The sequence below is a fragment of the Homo sapiens genome, chromosome 15 (genome assembly GCF_000001405.40).
Source record: "Homo sapiens chromosome 15, GRCh38.p14 Primary Assembly".
Taxonomy (NCBI): Eukaryota; Metazoa; Chordata; class Mammalia; order Primates; family Hominidae; genus Homo; species Homo sapiens.
Genome location: NC_000015.10, coordinates 63259161 through 63276874, shown reverse-complemented (window position 1 = coordinate 63276874; position 17714 = coordinate 63259161). Strand labels below are relative to the sequence as shown.

The 17714-nt window shown below is 40.6% G+C and overlaps 1 protein-coding gene and 1 long non-coding RNA gene across 3 annotated transcripts in view; both read right to left on the bottom strand.

Moving 5' to 3' along the window:
• Window positions 1–22: 22 nt before the first annotated feature.
• Window positions 23–1769, bottom strand: LOC124903504 (uncharacterized). Its single transcript, XR_007064674.1, has 2 exons — window positions 1513–1769; window positions 23–857 (listed from the first exon to the last, which is right to left on the bottom strand). It is a non-coding gene; the product is annotated as an uncharacterized LOC124903504 (long non-coding RNA).
• Window positions 1770–9098: 7329 nt separating this feature from the next.
• RAB8B (RAB8B, member RAS oncogene family) overlaps window positions 9099–17714 on the bottom strand; it is a 78171-nt gene continuing 69555 nt past the window's right edge. For both annotated transcript variants that reach the window (XM_017022312.1, NM_016530.3), the window contains 3 exons: window positions 17183–17248; window positions 14133–14183; window positions 9099–13348 (listed from right to left, as the gene is read on the bottom strand). In XM_017022312.1, the coding sequence (XP_016877801.1) occupies window positions 13256–13348; window positions 14133–14183; window positions 17183–17248 (210 nt within the window). In that variant the 3' untranslated portion in view covers window positions 9099–13255. The remainder of the gene's footprint in view (window positions 13349–14132; window positions 14184–17182; window positions 17249–17714) is intronic.

The following is a 17714-nucleotide window of genomic DNA, read 5'->3' as shown; positions in this document are numbered from 1 at the left end:
GAAGCTGCCCTTCTCAGGGCTGTTTCAGCCAAATGGTTTTTATTTTTTTCCCAATTCTTCAAAAGGGTTGTTTTTGCAGGCATTCTGTGACCACCCTACAAGCAATAGTAACATCTCCCTGCTCCGTCTTCTCACAGTCGTCCATTTCACTTGCTTATTTTTCTTCCCCGTTAAAACGCGAACTCCTGGGGGACAGGGACTTTGCTTTGCTCTTTGTTGTTTCCTCAGCACCTAGAAGTTCACTAATATCTGTTCAATAAGTGAAATAATTTAAAAGGTGGAAGTTATAAACATCTATATTAACAATTTCTGAAAGGTTTAAAAATTAAAACTTAAGTTCTCTGATCATTCACATCCAAGTTAGATTTTTCTTTATGTTGAATAATACTTCGTCGGTTATTTTGATCAGTGTGCCTGACACAGGTAAGTGCTATGTAAGTATTAACCACTCCTACATAATGTCCATCATGAATAAAGATTTTGGCAATCCACATTTAAAAAAACACCAGTAGACAAATGTTGGGACCTGACAGATGTTTTGCAGCTCGCCCCTGAAAATGCACCTTCAAATAATACAACTGCAGGTATTTAATTCTTACAGAAAAACATTACCTTTGCCCATTTAAAAGTCATATATATTTCCATTCACTCCCACAGAATACTTCTTCAGATTCCAGTGATTGTATTTTGAATGGTCAGATCCCAGCACAATACCTATCAAAACTCGGGTCGAGACAACAGTTCAGAGTGATAGATCTGCTTTGTAAAGATATGGAAAATGAGCTTCCAGACTGGAGGTCCTCAGTGCAACGCAGGCATGAGATGGCAGTGGCCTGATTCAGGGAATTAGCAGGACTCTGGAGGGAAGCAGACAAATTTAATAGAAGTTTAGGAATTGTACAAACAGAATTTAGTGACTAATGAGCTACATAGAGTGAGATGGGGGAAGAGTCAAGGATGAGGGCTTCTAGAGGGTTCGGGCTTAAGTGGATGCTGTGGAGACAGGAGGAGGAGAGAATATGGCAAAGTAGACACGATAATGAGTACCATTTTGTTATTTTGTTGTTACTGTTTTGGAGACATAGTCTCACTCTGTCGCCCAGGCTGGAGTGCAGTGGTGTGATCTCAGCTCACTGCAACCTCTGCCTCCCGAGTTCAAGCAATTATCCTGCCTCAGCCTCCAGAGTAGCTGGGACTATAGGCACGCGCCACCATGCCTGGGTTATTTTCGTATTTTAGTAGAGACAGTGTGAACAATGTTGGCCAGGCCAGTCTCGAACTCCTGGCCTCAAGTGACTTGCCCACCTCGGCCTCCCAAAGTGCTGGGATTACAGGCATGAGCCACCGTGCCTGGCCTTCATTTTGGATGCCTTGAGACTGAGATACTTGTAGCACTCCAAATGGAGGTGTTCAGTAGGCAACTACATATACAGGATCAGGAGAGAAATGGACTGAACATCAGAGCTGAGACCAGAATACCTGAAGCCGTGAGAGTATATAGAATAGAATTACCTAGATAGCTAGTAAAGCCAGAACAAGGCCTATGTCAGAACACCAACATTAAAGGTATGAGGAGAAGAGGAACCTCATAAGAAACTGAAAAGGAGTGGCCAAGAGGGTAACAAGAAAACTGGGGGAATGTGGTGCTGTGGAAGCCAAGGGGAAAACATTTCAGAAAGAAGGGCTGTCGAGAGGTTAAGTAGCCATGCACAGTGGCTCACGCCTGTAATCCCAGCACTTTGGGAGGCTGAGGCAGGCGGATCACTTGAGGTCAGGAGTTTGAGACCAGCCTGGCCAACATGGTGAAACCCTGCCTCTACTAAAAATACAAAAATTAGCTGGGCGTGGTGGCAGACACCTGTAATCCCAGCTACTCAGGAGGCTGAGACAGAAGAATCACTTGAACCTGGGAGGCAGAGGTTGCAGTGAGCCAAGACTGCGCCACTGTACTCCAGCCTGGGCCACAGAGTGAGACTCCTCCATCTCAAAACAAACAAAAAACAAAACAACAACAACAACAACAAAAGCTACCAGTGAATTATGTCCACTGGATTTAGCCATACAGAGGTCATCAGTGACCCAGACATAGGGGTAAAAGGCAGTCTGTAAAATCTTCTCACATTAATGTGTGGTAAGAAAAAAAAGGAAAGAGGAAAAAATGGAGAAATTTAGCTTTAGAGGAGAGGAGACAGGACACCAGCTGAAGGAAGACAGGAAATGGAGGGATCCTCAGAGTACCCACCCAGTTTCCTTGGTAACGAGTGATGCAATTTCGATCCTGCTGTGATGCTGAAGGTCGGAGTGAAGTTACCAGCCCTATAAGAGTCAACCCTAGGACCCAGCTTTCAAGCAGCACTGGTTTTGTTGATGGTACAAGATGAGAGTCTTAACTACATTCTCTTAGAGTTTTTTCAACTTCAGCTTGCACACAATATTCACAAGTAAATTTTTTTAAAGGCAATGCAAGAGGAAGTGGCTGGGTACAGTGGCTCACGCCTGTAATCCCAGCACTTTGGGAGGCTGAGGTGGGCAGATCACTTGAGGTCAGGAGTTTGAGACCAGTCTAGCCAATATGGTGAAACCCCATCTCTACTAAAAATGCAAAAATTAACTGGGCGTGGTGGCATACACCTGTAGTCCCAGCTACTCAGGAGGCGAAGGCACTAGAATTGCTTGAACCCGGGAGGCAGAGGTTGCAGTGAGCCAAGATCATGCCACTGCACTCCAGCCTGGGTGACAGAGCGAGACTCCAACTCAAAAGTAAATAAGTAAATAAATAAGGGCAATGCAAGAGGAAGAAACCTTAAGAAACAAAAACGAGGGCAAATATTGGTCATAAGAAATCAGATAAAGAATTACTACCTAGTTTATACTAAGTGTCCATGTTTATAATGCCAAGTTGATTTAATTTATATTCCAAATTTATAAACCATAAAACTAAATACCTTCATTGAGATATCAGAGAGAAAATTGCAATGATGGTAGAGTATCAAATGATCTATGTTAGAGAAATTACCAGTGTTTTCTTAGAATTTTAGAGCTAGGAAAGGACATAGAGATTATCCAATATAATTTTTTTTAAAAGCAAACAGAGGATACAACAAGCCTAGAAAATACTCCATTACTGAGCAGCAGAACCCACTTGGAACCTGGAAGTCTTGATTTCTAGTTCAGGCCTCTTTTTGCTAGATCCAGCTGCCTCAGTTGAAGCCTGAGACATTTTGATAATTTATTGACTAATGTGACTACCTATTTGAAATATTTCCCTAAAATTTCATTGCAATATTTACTCATAAGGAACAAAAACTCATTTCATGTATTTAGCAGTTGCTATTCTTAACCACAGCAATTTCTGTTTTTCTTTCATGTCATCACCCAACTACTTTCACCTTAGGCGAATGTATATTTATTTATTTTAATTTATTATTTATTTATTTTATTTGCTATGGTGCATTCTCATATATCCCTGGAACTAATAACGGAACACCAATCTTGAGGGTTGGAATCATGAAGTGGGAGAGAAGGTTTACTGAATTTATCAATACCTAAACAACATTCTGGGTGATCTTATTAAAAGCAAATCCTTCTATACTTAATAAAGATTAATATAGTGTAAGATACAACACAGATTAAGATAGTATAAGGCAGTGGTCCCCAACCTTTTTGGTAGCAGGGACTGGTTTCGTGGAAGACAATTTTTCCATGGACTGTGGGTTGGGGTGATGGGGATGGTTTCAGGATGAAACTGTTCCACCTCAGATCATCAGGCATTAGATTCTCATAAGGAGCACAAAACCTAGATCCCTCACATGCACAATTCATGATAGGTTTCACACTCCTATGAGAATCTAATGCCGCCATTGATCTGGCAGGAGGCAGAGTTCAGGCAGTAATGCTTACTGGCCTGCCGCTCACCTCCTGCTGTGTGGCCCAGTACCTATCCATGTCCCCAGAACTGGGGACCCCTGTAAGGTATTTAACAAAGATTAAAAGATAAGAACCAGAATAAAGAGCATATAAGGCCAAGGTGGGAGGATTGCTTGAGCCCAGGACTTCAAGACCAGCCTAGGCAACATGGTGAAACCCCATTTCTACAAAAAATACAAAAATCAGGCCAGGCGCAGTGACTCATACCTGTAATCCCAGCACTTTGGGAGGCTAAGGCAGGCAGATCACCTGAGGTCAGGAGTTTGAGACCAGCCTGGCCAACATGGGGAAAACCCATCTACTAAAAATACAAAAATTGGCTGGACATGGTGGTTCACGCCTGTAATCCCAGCACTTGGGGAGGCTGAGGTGAGCGGACTGCCTGAGCTCATGAGTTCGCAACCAGCCTGCGCAACATGGTGAAACCGCGTCTCTACTAAAATACAAAAAATTAGCTGGGCGTGGTGGCAGGCACCTGTAGTCCCAGCTACTCCGGAGGCTGGGGAGGAGAATCTCTTGAACCCAGGAGGTGGAGGTGGCAGTGAGCCGAGATCACGCCACTGCACTCTGGCCTGGGCAACAGAGCGAGACTCCGTCTCAAAAACAAAAACAAAAAACAAAACCAAGAAACAAAAAAGTTAGCCGGCCCTGGTGGCACACGCTTGTAATCCCAGCTACTCAGGAGGCTGAGGCAGGAGAACAGTTTGAACCTGGAAGGTGGAGGTTGCAGTGAGCCAAGATCGTGCCACTGCACTCCAGCCTGGGCGACAAAGCAAATCTCTGTCTCAAAAAAAAAAAAAAAAAAAATTAGCCAGGCGTGATGGCCCACGCCTATAGTCCCAACTACTCATGAGGCTGCGGTGGGAGGATTGCTTGAGCCCAGGAGGTCGAGGCTGCAGTGAGCTAAGATTGCACCACTGCACTTCAGCCTGGATGACAGAGTGAAACTGTCTGAAAGTAAATGGAGAACAAAACTTCTAAATTACACTTAGCTCCCAAATTACACTTCACTTACTTCATGGGCAAGTTAATTTTGATGATGACTGAAGTACTGATTCTCTCATTTATGTATTATTATTTTGACACAGAATCTCACTTCAGTCGCCCAGGCTGGAGTGCAGTGGCACTATCACAGCTCACTGCAGCCTAACCTCCTGGGCACAAGCGATCCTCCCACTTCAGCCTCCTGAGTAGCTGGGACTACGGGTGCGTGCCACCGCACCTGGATAATTTTTGTATTTTTTTGTAGAGACAGGGTTTTTCCATGTTGCCCAGGCTGGTCTCCAACACCTGAGCTCAAGTGATCCACCTGCCTCAGCCTCCCGGAGTTTTGGGATTACAGGCATGAGCCACTGTGCCAGGCGATTCTTTCATTTATTAAACACCTACCATGTGCCAAGCCCCTTACTGGGTATGGTAGATACAAAAACTAAAGACACAACTCCCACCCTTCAGGAGCCTAGAGTCTATCTAGTAGAGAAGGAAAGTAAATAGTCAACTCAAATCCATGTGGTGAGTGACACTTGGGGCATACACAGAGGCTTCTAAGCAGAGGGGGGGTTGTAGCTAAAATCTTGCCAGAGAAACCCTCAGTGAGTCTTTTTTTTTTTTTTTTTTGAGACAGAGTGTCGCTCTGTTGCCCAGGCTGGGTGCAGTGGCATGATCTTGGCTCACTGCAAACTCCACCTCCTGGGTTCAAGTGATTCTCCTGCCTCAGCCTCTTCAGTAGCTAGGATTACAGGCGCCCACCACCATGCCTGGCTATTTTTGTATTTTTGGTAGAGATGGGGTTTCACCATGTTGGCCAGGCTGGTCTCGAACTCCTGACCTCAAATGATCTGCCCGCCTCGGCCTCCCAAAGTGCTGGGATTATAGGCATGAGCCACCATGCCCTGCCCCTCAGTGAGTCTTGAAAGTAAGCGGAGGCCAGCCAAGTAAAGAAGCAGAAGTCGGCAGAAGGAGCAATGTAAGCAAAGGAATAAAATGATATGATGTGCTGGGGAACTGCAATTACTCATGAGGTTCAAAGGAAGAGTATGAGTTAAGGCATGACGAGATTTAAGGCTGGAGAGAAAGATGTGGGGATGGCAAAGGACTTTGTTTGCCATGCAAAGGAGTTTTTATCCCAAGGTTAGGCAGTACCACTAAAGCATTATATGTAGCGGGGACAGGATAAGATGCCACCTGTAAAACTCAGCACTGTGAAAACTGGATTGGAGGAAAATAAAATTAGAGGTGGGGAGACTGATTTGGAGAGATTACAGTGATCTAGGCAGAAGTTGAGGGGGCCTCAACAAAGAGTGGCAGTAATAATGGACAAGTAGATAGGGGTAGGACCCATGAAATCTGGAGGTTGACTAAGGATCTACACAGATGATGGTGCTACTTATTATGATGGAAAAAGGACAGGCTGCCCCCCCCCCCCCGCCCCACCGCCCACTTCGGAAGTGGGGTTTGCTTGGGGAGAGGGAAAAGACAGAGTTGAGTCTGAGTTTCAGACATGTTGTGTGTGATGTCCCTGTAGTAGATCCAAGGGGGATGTCCCGTAGGCAGGTAACTTTGAGGTCTGGCCCTCCGGAAAGTGGTTATGGCTAGAGATACACGTTTGAAAACTGTTTTAGCTTTCTATTGCTGCTGTGCTAAATTACCACAAACTCAGTGACATAAAGCAGTCTGTAAAGACAAATTTAGTCTTACAGTTCTGGAGGTGGTTAAGTACAAAATGGGTCTGACCTGGGCTAAAATCAAGGTGTCAGAGCAGGCTGGTTCCTTCTGGAGGCTGTAGGGGAGAATCCTTTTCCAGATCCTGGAGGCTGCCCACATTCCTTGGCTCATGGCTCTGCACAGCATCACAGCACCTTTTCTCCCTCTGCGTCCATCATCACGTGGCTTTCTTCTGACTCTTCCTGTCCTCTCATGAGAAGGACCCCTAGGATTACATTGGGTCCACTTGGATCAAGATAATCTCCCATCTCATGATCCTTAACTCGATCCCCTCTGCAAAGTCCTTTTTGCCATATAAAGTAACATTCAGAGGTTCCGGGGATTAAGACATGACCAACCTTGAGGGGGTAGGGGAAGGTGGGGAGGGGCATTATTCAGCCTTACCGCAGAAGTTATGAGCATTTAAAGAGCCATGAAAAAGGGTGAAATTATTGTGCATAAGTCGGAATCATGAGAATACTGTCACAGAAGCCAAGGAAAGAACATTTCTCGGGCGGGGGAGAAATATACTGGTGAAATGCTGCCGAGAAGTTAGCTAGGAACAGAACTGAAAACTGTCTACTACTTTAGCAGCTAGGCTGTCGTAAGCACAATGTCAGCGAAGTGGTGGGGAGGGGCAGGGCGGGGGGTAGAAGACAAACCAGAGTAGGTTAAGGAATAAATGGAAAATGAAAAAGTGAGCATAGTAACTATAGATACCTCTTTGAAAACAGATGCCTTTAAGCATAACAGAAAGAAGAGGAAAAAGAGCAGGTGAGAGAGGACCACAAGCCACAGGGTAGGAGGGTTGAGGATGCTCAGAGGCTGAAGGAAAGGGCTAAGAAAGGATAGGGGTTTGAAGGTACAAGAGAAAGAGCTGTGAGTTCCCTGAAAAGCAGGATAGCAGTGGGAGGATGAATTCAGATATGGGGCAGAGAGAAGAGCCTAGGTTAAGAATGCCTGTGAGACCAAGAGGAAGGAGGTAAGGATGAAGGTGGCCTGTAGGTTAGGGAGGGAGAGGAGGCTAATGTGGTTTGTGACTGATGCTTTTCTCTGGAAGGAGGGAGGTGAAAGATCAGTCCATGAAGAGGGACAGGGAAGAGGTAGGAAGCTTGAGAAGAATAGTGAAGGTTTGAAATGGCCGTGGGATGAATGGGAAAGGCTGAGACTGGGAATATGTGCAAACAAAGCAGGAGAGTATCGACAGTGCTGGTGCCATCAAGTTGGTTCTTTCCGTCTGGGTGCAGTGGCTCATGCCTGTAATCCCAGTACTTTGGGAGGCCGAAGTGAGAGGATCACTTGAGCCCAGGATTTGGAGATCAGCCTGGGCAACATAGTGAAACCCTGTCTCTACCAAAAAAAAAAAAAAAAATTAGCTGGGTTGGGTAGTGCCTGTAGTCCCACCTACTCGGGAGGCTGAGGTGGGAGGATCGCTTGAACCTGGGAAGTAGAGGCCACAGTGAGCCATGATCACACCACTGCACTCCAGCCTGGGTGACAGAGTAGACCTTGTCTCAGAAAACACCACAAGGCCGGGCATGGTGGCTCACACCTGTAATCCCAGCACTTTGGGAGGCCGAGGCAGGCAGATCGCCTGAGGTCAGGAGTTCAAGACCAGCCTAGGCAACATGGCAAAACCCTGTCTCTACTAAAAATACAAAATTAGCCAGGCATGGTGGTGTGTGCCTGTAATCCCAGTTACTCGGGAGGCTGAGGTAAGAGAATCGCTTGAACCTAGGAGGCAGAGGTTGCAGTGAGTCGAGATCACGCCACAACACTCCAGCCTGGGTGACAGAGTGGGGCTCCGTCTAAAAAAAAAAAAAAAAACCACAAAAGAAATTATTTTCAAGTGGAAACAAAACAACAGAAATTAAACTTGCAAGGACTAAGAAAGGAAGGGTGATCAATTTAAAGCTACAGGTTCTACAACAGAATAACCTCAATGTATGCTGAGCTAAGTATGATGAACAGGGGAGCTGGCTATTTTTCTAGATCTTTAAACAACTCTGCGTCAGATATAAAGTTTGCTAAAATATCTTAAGTCTGCCATGGTTTGAAACATATACCTGTCAAATTTGCAGAAACATTTTTAATTTATTTTATTTATTTATTTATTTTTGTGAAACAGGGTCTCACTCCATTGTGCAGGCTGGAGTGCAGTGGCCCGATCCCAGCTCACGGCAACCTCCACCTCCCAAGTCCAAGCGATTCTCCCACCTCAGCCTCCTGAGCAGCCAGGACCACAGGCATGCCCTGCCATTCTGGGCTAATTTTTGTATTTTGTAATTTTGTAGTACAGATGGGTGTCTCACCATGCCGGCCAGGCTGGTTTTGAATTCCCGACCTCAAGCGATCCACCCACCCCAGCCTCCCAAAGTGCTGGGACCACAGGCGTGAGCCACTGCATCTGGCCCAAATTTGCAGAAATATTTTTAAAATGTGCAGTCCATTTCAGAGAGCCATTAGCATTTTCATTTTCATTATGTAGTTTTTATTTTAGACGAACATTATTATAAAAAAAAAGTTCACCTGGAATAAAATCCATTTAAAAAAAACATAGCATCAGTATCAGTACACAGTTAATGAATTGGCTTAAACAAGATTAACCACATGACAGGTCCACTTATCTGCAGGAGCTTTTCACATTAAGCCATTGGAGCAAAAATAAAATATGTTTAAACATGTACAGTAGGATAGTTATATGGAAAAACTAGAGAGTTTCCATTAGGGGCATGATTTTCATCAAACAGTTTATGGTATTTTGCATGAAAGGAACTGCAGTGTCAGCTGCAAACAAAATAAAAGCCATCTGTAAGGCCATAAAATTGAACTATAATAACTAAATTCACATTTTAAAAAAAGGTAAAGTGAAATAAGTTCTATTAGTTTCTTGGCACAAGAAATGCAATTGCATATGGCACACGCATTTCAAGAAATGAAGTAAAATCTGAAAATATCCCTAGAATAATTGTTTGCTAATTTTTATTTCTGTACATTTCAGTCATTTAGATTTTTTTCAGAGTGAACATGACAGCCATTAATTTTATTAGTCTAAAAAAATGACTTATTCTACTCTAAAATTGTGCTAGAATTTGAAATTATTTTAGCATATCCTGTCCGTCTAGGTCCCTCTATATCAAGGGATTTCATTTTTAGACATTCCTTTCCACCCACCCCTGTGCCCCCCTTGGATGTAACAAGGAAAAAGGAATGTCTCTTCTGTTTAAAAAAAAAAAATTCTGAGAAACCTGATTGCAGAAATGAGTGCTTAAAATTTATAATAATTAACCAACATAATGAAATGTGGTTTTTAAAGATTGAGAACTAAATTTGTAAAGGAATCTAAGTCATGAACTTGAAAAGAATGTCTGCTTAAATGTGTCACTTACTGATCACAGGAAAAACTTTATAAGCCTTAATATAGACTCTGAGCATTCAGAACCTGTAAAATGGAGTTATAATCTCTTACTAGAAACTTCTGCAAAAACGCACCTATATTGCACAGCTAAATTTATTAATGGAGACAGGGAGATAATACTTTTTTTATGCTACTGGATATGACATGTATGCTCTATCCTAAACTAATATTTCCTACCTTTCCCAATGATGTCTTCAGTTCAAAACAAAACAAAGAGTCTAAATTTTGTTAGATGCTTAAAGGCTGGCTCACTGTTTTTCTACCAGGTATTAGAATACTAGTTAGCTAAATGAGGTATAATTAAAAAATAGACCTTCAAAGTAAAGAGTATAGTCTTCTGAAAATTTATAACAAAGACTGCACAAAATGTTTCTGTAAATAGTAAGAAACCCTGCAGCACCTACTAACTGATGCACAGGTAGATTATTGTATCATAATCTGTCTGAAGTAAAATATAGCTAAAATAAGTTCCCAGCGAAACGTTTTACAATCAACTGATTTACATGCTACTTAGTTACAGCACATTTTCACTGTCTGATACCCTCAGACTCTATTTGAAAAGGTCTAGTCCAATCACTGTCAAAAATTAACACACTGATTAATAAAGTGCAGCCACTGAACCACTAATACTGCTGCAAAAATCTTCATGTACCTTATCCATAAGACCACAAAAATGTTCACAAAAAAACTAGATTTCTTCAGTTTCAGCGGGGAACAGACAATTATCTGTCATTAAATTCATCTACAAATAGAAAAAATAATGCACTGTATGTACATTATTAAGCAAAGTGGAATATTTATTGGGTCATTTTATCATGCAGAAAGTGAATTTCCTAAGGTCTTAGCTCAATGTATATACAATCTAGCAAAGCTAAATGTAAGAAAATAGCAAGGACAATTTATTTCTATATAACAGAGCATATACTCCCAATTTGCTGCTACTTCAAAGAGCACTTTTAGACTCATCTAACTTTTACAGGCTCTTTCAAGTGAAGTTCATGGAGACTAGTTATTAATCCATATAAGACAAAAGAAGAAAGAAGAAATATAACCAAAGCAAAGCATTCTGTTAAAAAAAAAAGTAATAAAAGCTAACCACAGAATATGTCAGTTTTGGTTTGCAGACAACCCCTGAGATTATATAAACCAAAGCGTTAAGACACCAAATAGTCAGAGGTAAATTACTAAGAGAATTACATTCATACATGGTGTCATAGCACTTATCTTTTAGAAGGTACTTTGTTACCATCCAGAAAGCGTTAACTGCTTGGATTTTTTCAGGAAATAGTGAATATTAAGATGTTTCTAAAAAATTATCTTTTCCTTTTGAAAATGTATCTAATTTGAAGATAGTAGAATTACAATAAACTTTCAATCACGGAACTACTAATTATACTAGAACAGCAACGAATGACTTTTAAGCCTATAGGTAATTACCAAAAAAAAAAAAATTAAGGAGGCTGAAATTTGTCAACAATAAGTTTAGTATATCTATTAAAAATAGCTTGGGCATATTTGCAGCTGCTAAATTGTTCCTATATTTTCAAATAAGTACAAAAGATTGACTGGTCCAAGCATTCTAATGACATATCTTAATTTGAAGAGAATTCTCTGTGGTAACAAGCAATCCCTTTCCACTGCCATCTCCTGTTCTTATCTATCCAGCATGATAGTAGCCTTTGTGAAGCAAAACAGGCATACCAGGAAGAATAATTATTAACAGAATTCATTTCCCTCATCCCCTCTGTTTTATCCCCCCTGTGTTATGACACTGAAGGCTAGAGCAACAACGACATAGTGATCTGAATTTGGCACACAAGTTAACACTAAATACCTTGTGATGGTTTCATCTACAAAAGTATACCAGTACCAGTGTTTGTTGAGAAAGGCAACTAAGCTTTTGGTTGGCTTTAGCCCAAATGACTGGACTAAGTTCTGTAACAATGAACCAAAACAGATGGAACTGGGTTCTACACAATCAACAACAGCTGTTTGAAAACTGAAACCTTGGTCCTGTTTTCTCTAATGAAAAGGCAAGACTTTTCCTAGAGGCTGCACTAGGTCTAAGTACTTTTATTTCTAAAAACATCTGCCAAATAAAACCAACCAAAACTCATTATTTTCACCATTACCAAGAGCTAGCTCTATTAAATTTATATCAACAAGTTAATCTGTCTCTATATAGGGAAGGTTTCCGCAAACTAAAATCTAAACCTAACTTTTGTAGACAGGGATTATGGTAGGAATTTGGTATTACAACTAAACCAGCCAGCTAAGGAGTGAACCTAAGAAAAAATATATTACATATCCTTATTGACAGAATCACAGTTAGATGCTGCACTAAAACCCTAAATGGTATATCTCTCAGCCCACGTAAAATTTCAGCTCAAGAAGTTCACAAATAGAAACAGATAATAATGTTCAAATATTACTTAAGAGTGATTACACTTAAGTCAAACATGGGAAAGAATAGCAAATACAAACCCCAGGGAAAAATGAGATTATGGTGATTTCCAAATGCAGTTTCTATAGATTAGGCAGAGGTAATCATTTTAAAGTGATTCATTCAGCTACCCAGACTCTGGAAAACAGGTCGGGGATGAGGCAAAGCTCTTAATCTGAAGAAATAAAGAAATTGTGGCCTTTGATGACAAGATGGGCATTTCAGTAAATTTTTTTAATGACTTTAATGATTCTTATTTAAGAAAAAGCCCTTAAATAAATGCTACCAAGGCAGTAATATTTGACCATATGAACCAGACCAAATACCCTTTAATTTTAGTATATTAACCTCTGCTGTAAATGCTCTTTTAACATTGCCACATGTACAAATTTGTCTAGAACTTCACGACACAAAAGTGTGCAAATATGAGTCTAAGATTGTGCTGAAATAGGGAAAGGCTAACACTGATGTGCAAAGTAAAAAAGAAAGATAACCGCTTCTGCAACAGGTAATAAAACAAGGAAAAAACGAGTTAGGTCCTGCATGTGTCTCCACTTCATTGCTTCCATGTTTGAAAAAGGGAGTCTGTTCTTTTGCTAGGCCATGAGGCTGGAATCCACTTGGCATACTGTGTTGAGAGGTCTAAGTTCAGTGGTGCTCTCAGCAGCAGCCGGGAGGTGTGATTCTGAGGCTGGGTGACCTGTGCTTTCAGAGAAGCAGGAAAGGGCCCTCTAGGTGTGCTGCAGTCTCTCAGAAAGAGTTCATCAAAGTAGCGAGCAACGAAAGAAACTGGTCTTCTTTGATCGGTTTTCTGTTATTTTCACTGGTCCACCTGCTCCTGCTGAATTGCTGTCATTCTAAAAAATAGAAGATGAAGTTACCAAGGAAATAAAAGTTTCATGGTTTGACCTCAGTTACCTAAAAAATAAAAATAACTAACCATACCATGTGAAATGTGTATTCTAGTGAAATGTGTATTCACTAGAGTATTTTATTAGAACGGGAACTAGTTAAGCACCAATGTTGTCTTTTTCTTTGGAAATGGTGAATTGAAAAGAGGAAAATGCCCTTACGATAGCAGCTTTTATATCAATAATGTATTCAATAGGAAGCTTCTATTTCTAGTTCCAATGGAGTGTAAAGTTTCAAAGGTAATGATGGAAACAATGTTAAGATACTGGCATAGACAGTTCTGTTAGAGGTAAGAAGAGTTAGTAGCATAAGGTACGCAATTATAGTCAGGACTCAGGATAAAACAAACTTTCAAGGTTGTCTTAATGATTTCAAATTTAAGCAAACTTTAGCAACTTCAAAATCGTAGTTATGCAGATATAAATACCTGTCACATGAAAACTGAATAATTTTATGGCAAAAATCGAATTTGTGCCATTATTATTTTCATTATTCTCATCAAAATTCAATTAAAGATCACTTAAAGAGCCAGAAGAAAGGACTGAAACAGTGGCAGCTCAGAAATAAGAATCCTAAACAAACAGAACTAAGAATCAGAGTTCAACCAAATGAGTATCTGAGTCAGGAAAAAAATGAGTTTAATTTGAGTATCTTATAATTAGACCTATCCTTTTCATCAAATGCCAAACAGACAGCATAATGGAAATAAAAATTATAAGTGATACAAACCATTTTTCTGTTGAGTTTTGTCATTATATCTCGTGCAAGTGTAAAAAATGCCTATAGGTAAAACAAAACATTTTCATTATTATATATTCACTATATATATGTATATATATATATATACACATATATATATTCCCCCCGCCTCAGAGATGGGGTCTTGCTATGTTGCCCTGGCTGAATTGGAACTCCTGGGCTCAGGCAATCCTCCCACCTCAGTCTCCTAAGTAGCTGGGACTACAGGTGTGAGCCACCATGCCTGACTTATTTTAAAACAGAAATACAGAATTTTTCATTATTTCAATATAAATATACCACTTTAAAGCTTTACATTAAGAAAGTAATAATTGTAATCATAGTATGCATGTGTTTACTCTTTTGAGATTGTATCATAAACATTTTCCAATGTTATCAAACTATCATTCATTCATCAAATATTTTCTTCATGTGATATAATATCACAATAACACCCTTGTTGAGTCACGAGTAACTTCTTCAGTACACCAAGAACAGGACAGAAGCTCTGTCTAAGCTACCCCACTTCCCTAGAGCAGGGCACAGTGCTGATCTAGGAAATGCTGACTATCTGGTTTAATGAGTGAATAAATAATTATGTATTACCCTATAGCTCTAAAATGTCTTCACAAAAATCTCTACTTTTTATTTCTGGCTTTTTCTTTCAAATTGCTCTCACTCTTATAGCTGAATATGTATAATCTTCCATGTCTTACTCCAAAATCCCAACAGTTCCTGGAGCTCTCGGCTAAATTCCCCACCATGGAAGTCAGTTCGAATAGAAGCAGGGCAAATCTGATTAATCTTCGTGATAATTTATCCATAATGTCTCTTGATACAAACCAAATATTTTTTAAATCCATCATCACTTTTTCTATGAAGCCAGGAACTGTTAAAGATTCTTCATTTGTCACCATGCTAAACCTATTGTTAAATCAACCTCTTTGTTCCCAACACTCCTGATCCCCAAAAACTGTTCAGGAAAAGGATTATTTCCAATCCAATCAAATAAAAACAATACGACAACTACTATTATTACTCATTGTCAGTGTCTCACTGTCAAACTTGTCACCTATGAGCCTAACCACACTGATTTAAAGCTCTGGCAAAGTTGTTACCATCTGTATGCCTTGCTAGAATAAGCAGCTCAGGCAACTCCCAGTTCAGGGAGTTCTATCCATACTGTTGCAAATTATGGGATTTCACTCTTTTTTTATGGCTGAATAGTATTCCATTGTGTATACATACCACATTTTCTTTATCCATTCATCCACTGATGGACACTTAGGTGGATACACTGATTCCCTTTCTTTTGGGTAAATACTCAGTAGTGAGACTGCTGGATCATATGGTAGTTCTATTTTTAGTTTTTTTATTGTTCTCCATAGTGGCTGTACTAATTTACATTCCTACCCACAGTATATGAGGGTTCCCCTTTCTCTACATCCTTTCCAGCATTTGTTATTGCCTATCTCTTTGATAAAAGCCATTTTAATTGGGGTGAGATGATAGCTCACTGTACTTTTGATATGCATTGCCCTGATCACTACTGATGTCGGGAATTTTTTCATATACCTGTTGGCCATTTATTTGTCTTCTTTTGAGAAATGTCTATTCAGATCTTTTGTCCATTTTTAACTTGGATTATTTCTGATGGCGGGAAATCCTTTTGTATCAAGCAGAGGGAAGCATTTTTCTGCTTATCTAAGCTTGTGTAAGTAAATCAGTAGAGGCTTCCTGTTTCCTAACACCCATCGGCCAACCTAAACAAATAACTGTTACGTTATTTAAAACAAAGAAAAAGTTCTGATCAGTGTCCACTGGCTAATAAAGTCATGTAGGTCTCGATTTTTAACCATCATGTTATGATGAACAATGAGTAACCTAGGAAATTAAATGTTTATGAAACTATCAGTATTATTAAAAGAATTACATGTATTAACACATATCACATGTAAATTACACGTATTATTTTTATGATCAGTTGAAAAAATGTTTTTTAAAAAAAATAACAGTTCCCTTGGTGAAGAAAACCTATTATTTTTTTTTTTTACACTTTAAGTTCTGGGATACATGTATAGAACATGCAGGTTTGTTACCTAGGTATACACGTGCCATGGTGGTTTTCTGCAACCATCAACCAGTCATCTACGTTAGGTATTGAAGAAAACCTATTCTCATAAGACTTTAGATGGTTTGGTTTTCCTTAACAGCTAACTTAATGAAAATTTATTAAAGCTACTCCCTGATAAACACTTTCCTATTTCCACTAAATGCCACTGTTACAATTTATTGTGCTTAATCTACCTCAAATGTGTACGCTAAAGGAATGTGTCCAATAAACTAACAGCTTAATTCTCCCTTGAGAGAGTACAGCCTTAAAAGTGATTTAACTCTTCTGCTGCAGGCATACAGGGTGACATGAATGAGCACAGGATACTGGTTGGTCTTCTAGTCCAGGATTTCCAGCTGCCCAAAAAAAGGGCAAAACTGAACTTCCATAATCTATTCTGTGAATCTTAACTGAGCAAGCTAATATAATCCAGGTGGAGGCTAGATGCTAGAAATTCAACAACCAGCGTCTACATAAAAATCAGAAGCAGCTGGGTATGGTGGCTCACGCCTGTAATTCCAGCACTTTGGGAGGCCAAGGAGAGGGGATCACGAGGTCAAGAGATCGAGACCCTCCTGGCCAACATGGTGAAACCCCGTTTCTACTAAAAATACAAAAATTAGCTGGGCGTGGTGATGCACACCTATAGTACCAGCTACTCGGGAGGCTGAGGCAGGAGAATCGCTTGAACCTGGGAGGCAGAGGTTGCAGTGAGCCGAGATCATGCCACTGCATTCCAGCCTGGCGACAGAGTGAGACTCCATCTCAAAAAAAAAAAAATCAGAAGCACAAAAGTGTACAAAGTAGAGTTGGGTCAACAAAAGGCATTCATTAGGTCAGAAAATACCAAAGCTCTGAGAGCTGTTTGAACACAGGCCCCTAAGCACTGGTGCTGCTCCGTAACAGTCACCAAACGTTTCCTTCTTACCTCTTCTACATTTGCACTGGATTTTGCGCTTGTCTCCAAGAATTTAATCCCATAGTCAATTGCTAGCTGAAAAGTAAACAGAAATATTTAAATTTAGCAAAAGATACTTGAACACATAATGCATTTGTATTTCTTAGGTTTTTCAAAGTCTCAAAGGTAGGGTATCTATTTCAGAACTCCTGTGGTTCTCAAATTTCTTTGCTTTCTTCTACTGTATTCAGAATTTAATAATTTAACTTAATCATCGTAAGAAGGATGGCACAACTTCCATTTCAAACATAATTTAAGGCCGGGCATGGTGGCTCACGCACTTTGGGAGGCCGAGGCAGACGGATCACGAGGTCAGGAGATCGAGACCCTCCTTGCTAACATGATGAAACCCCGCCTCTACTAAAAATACAAAAAATTAGCCGGGCGTGGTGGCACCCGCCTGTAGTCCCAGCTACCCGGGAGGCTGAGGCAGGAGAATTGCTTGAACCCAGGAGGCAGAGGTTGGAGTAAGCCGAGATCGCACCACTGCACTCCAGTCCAG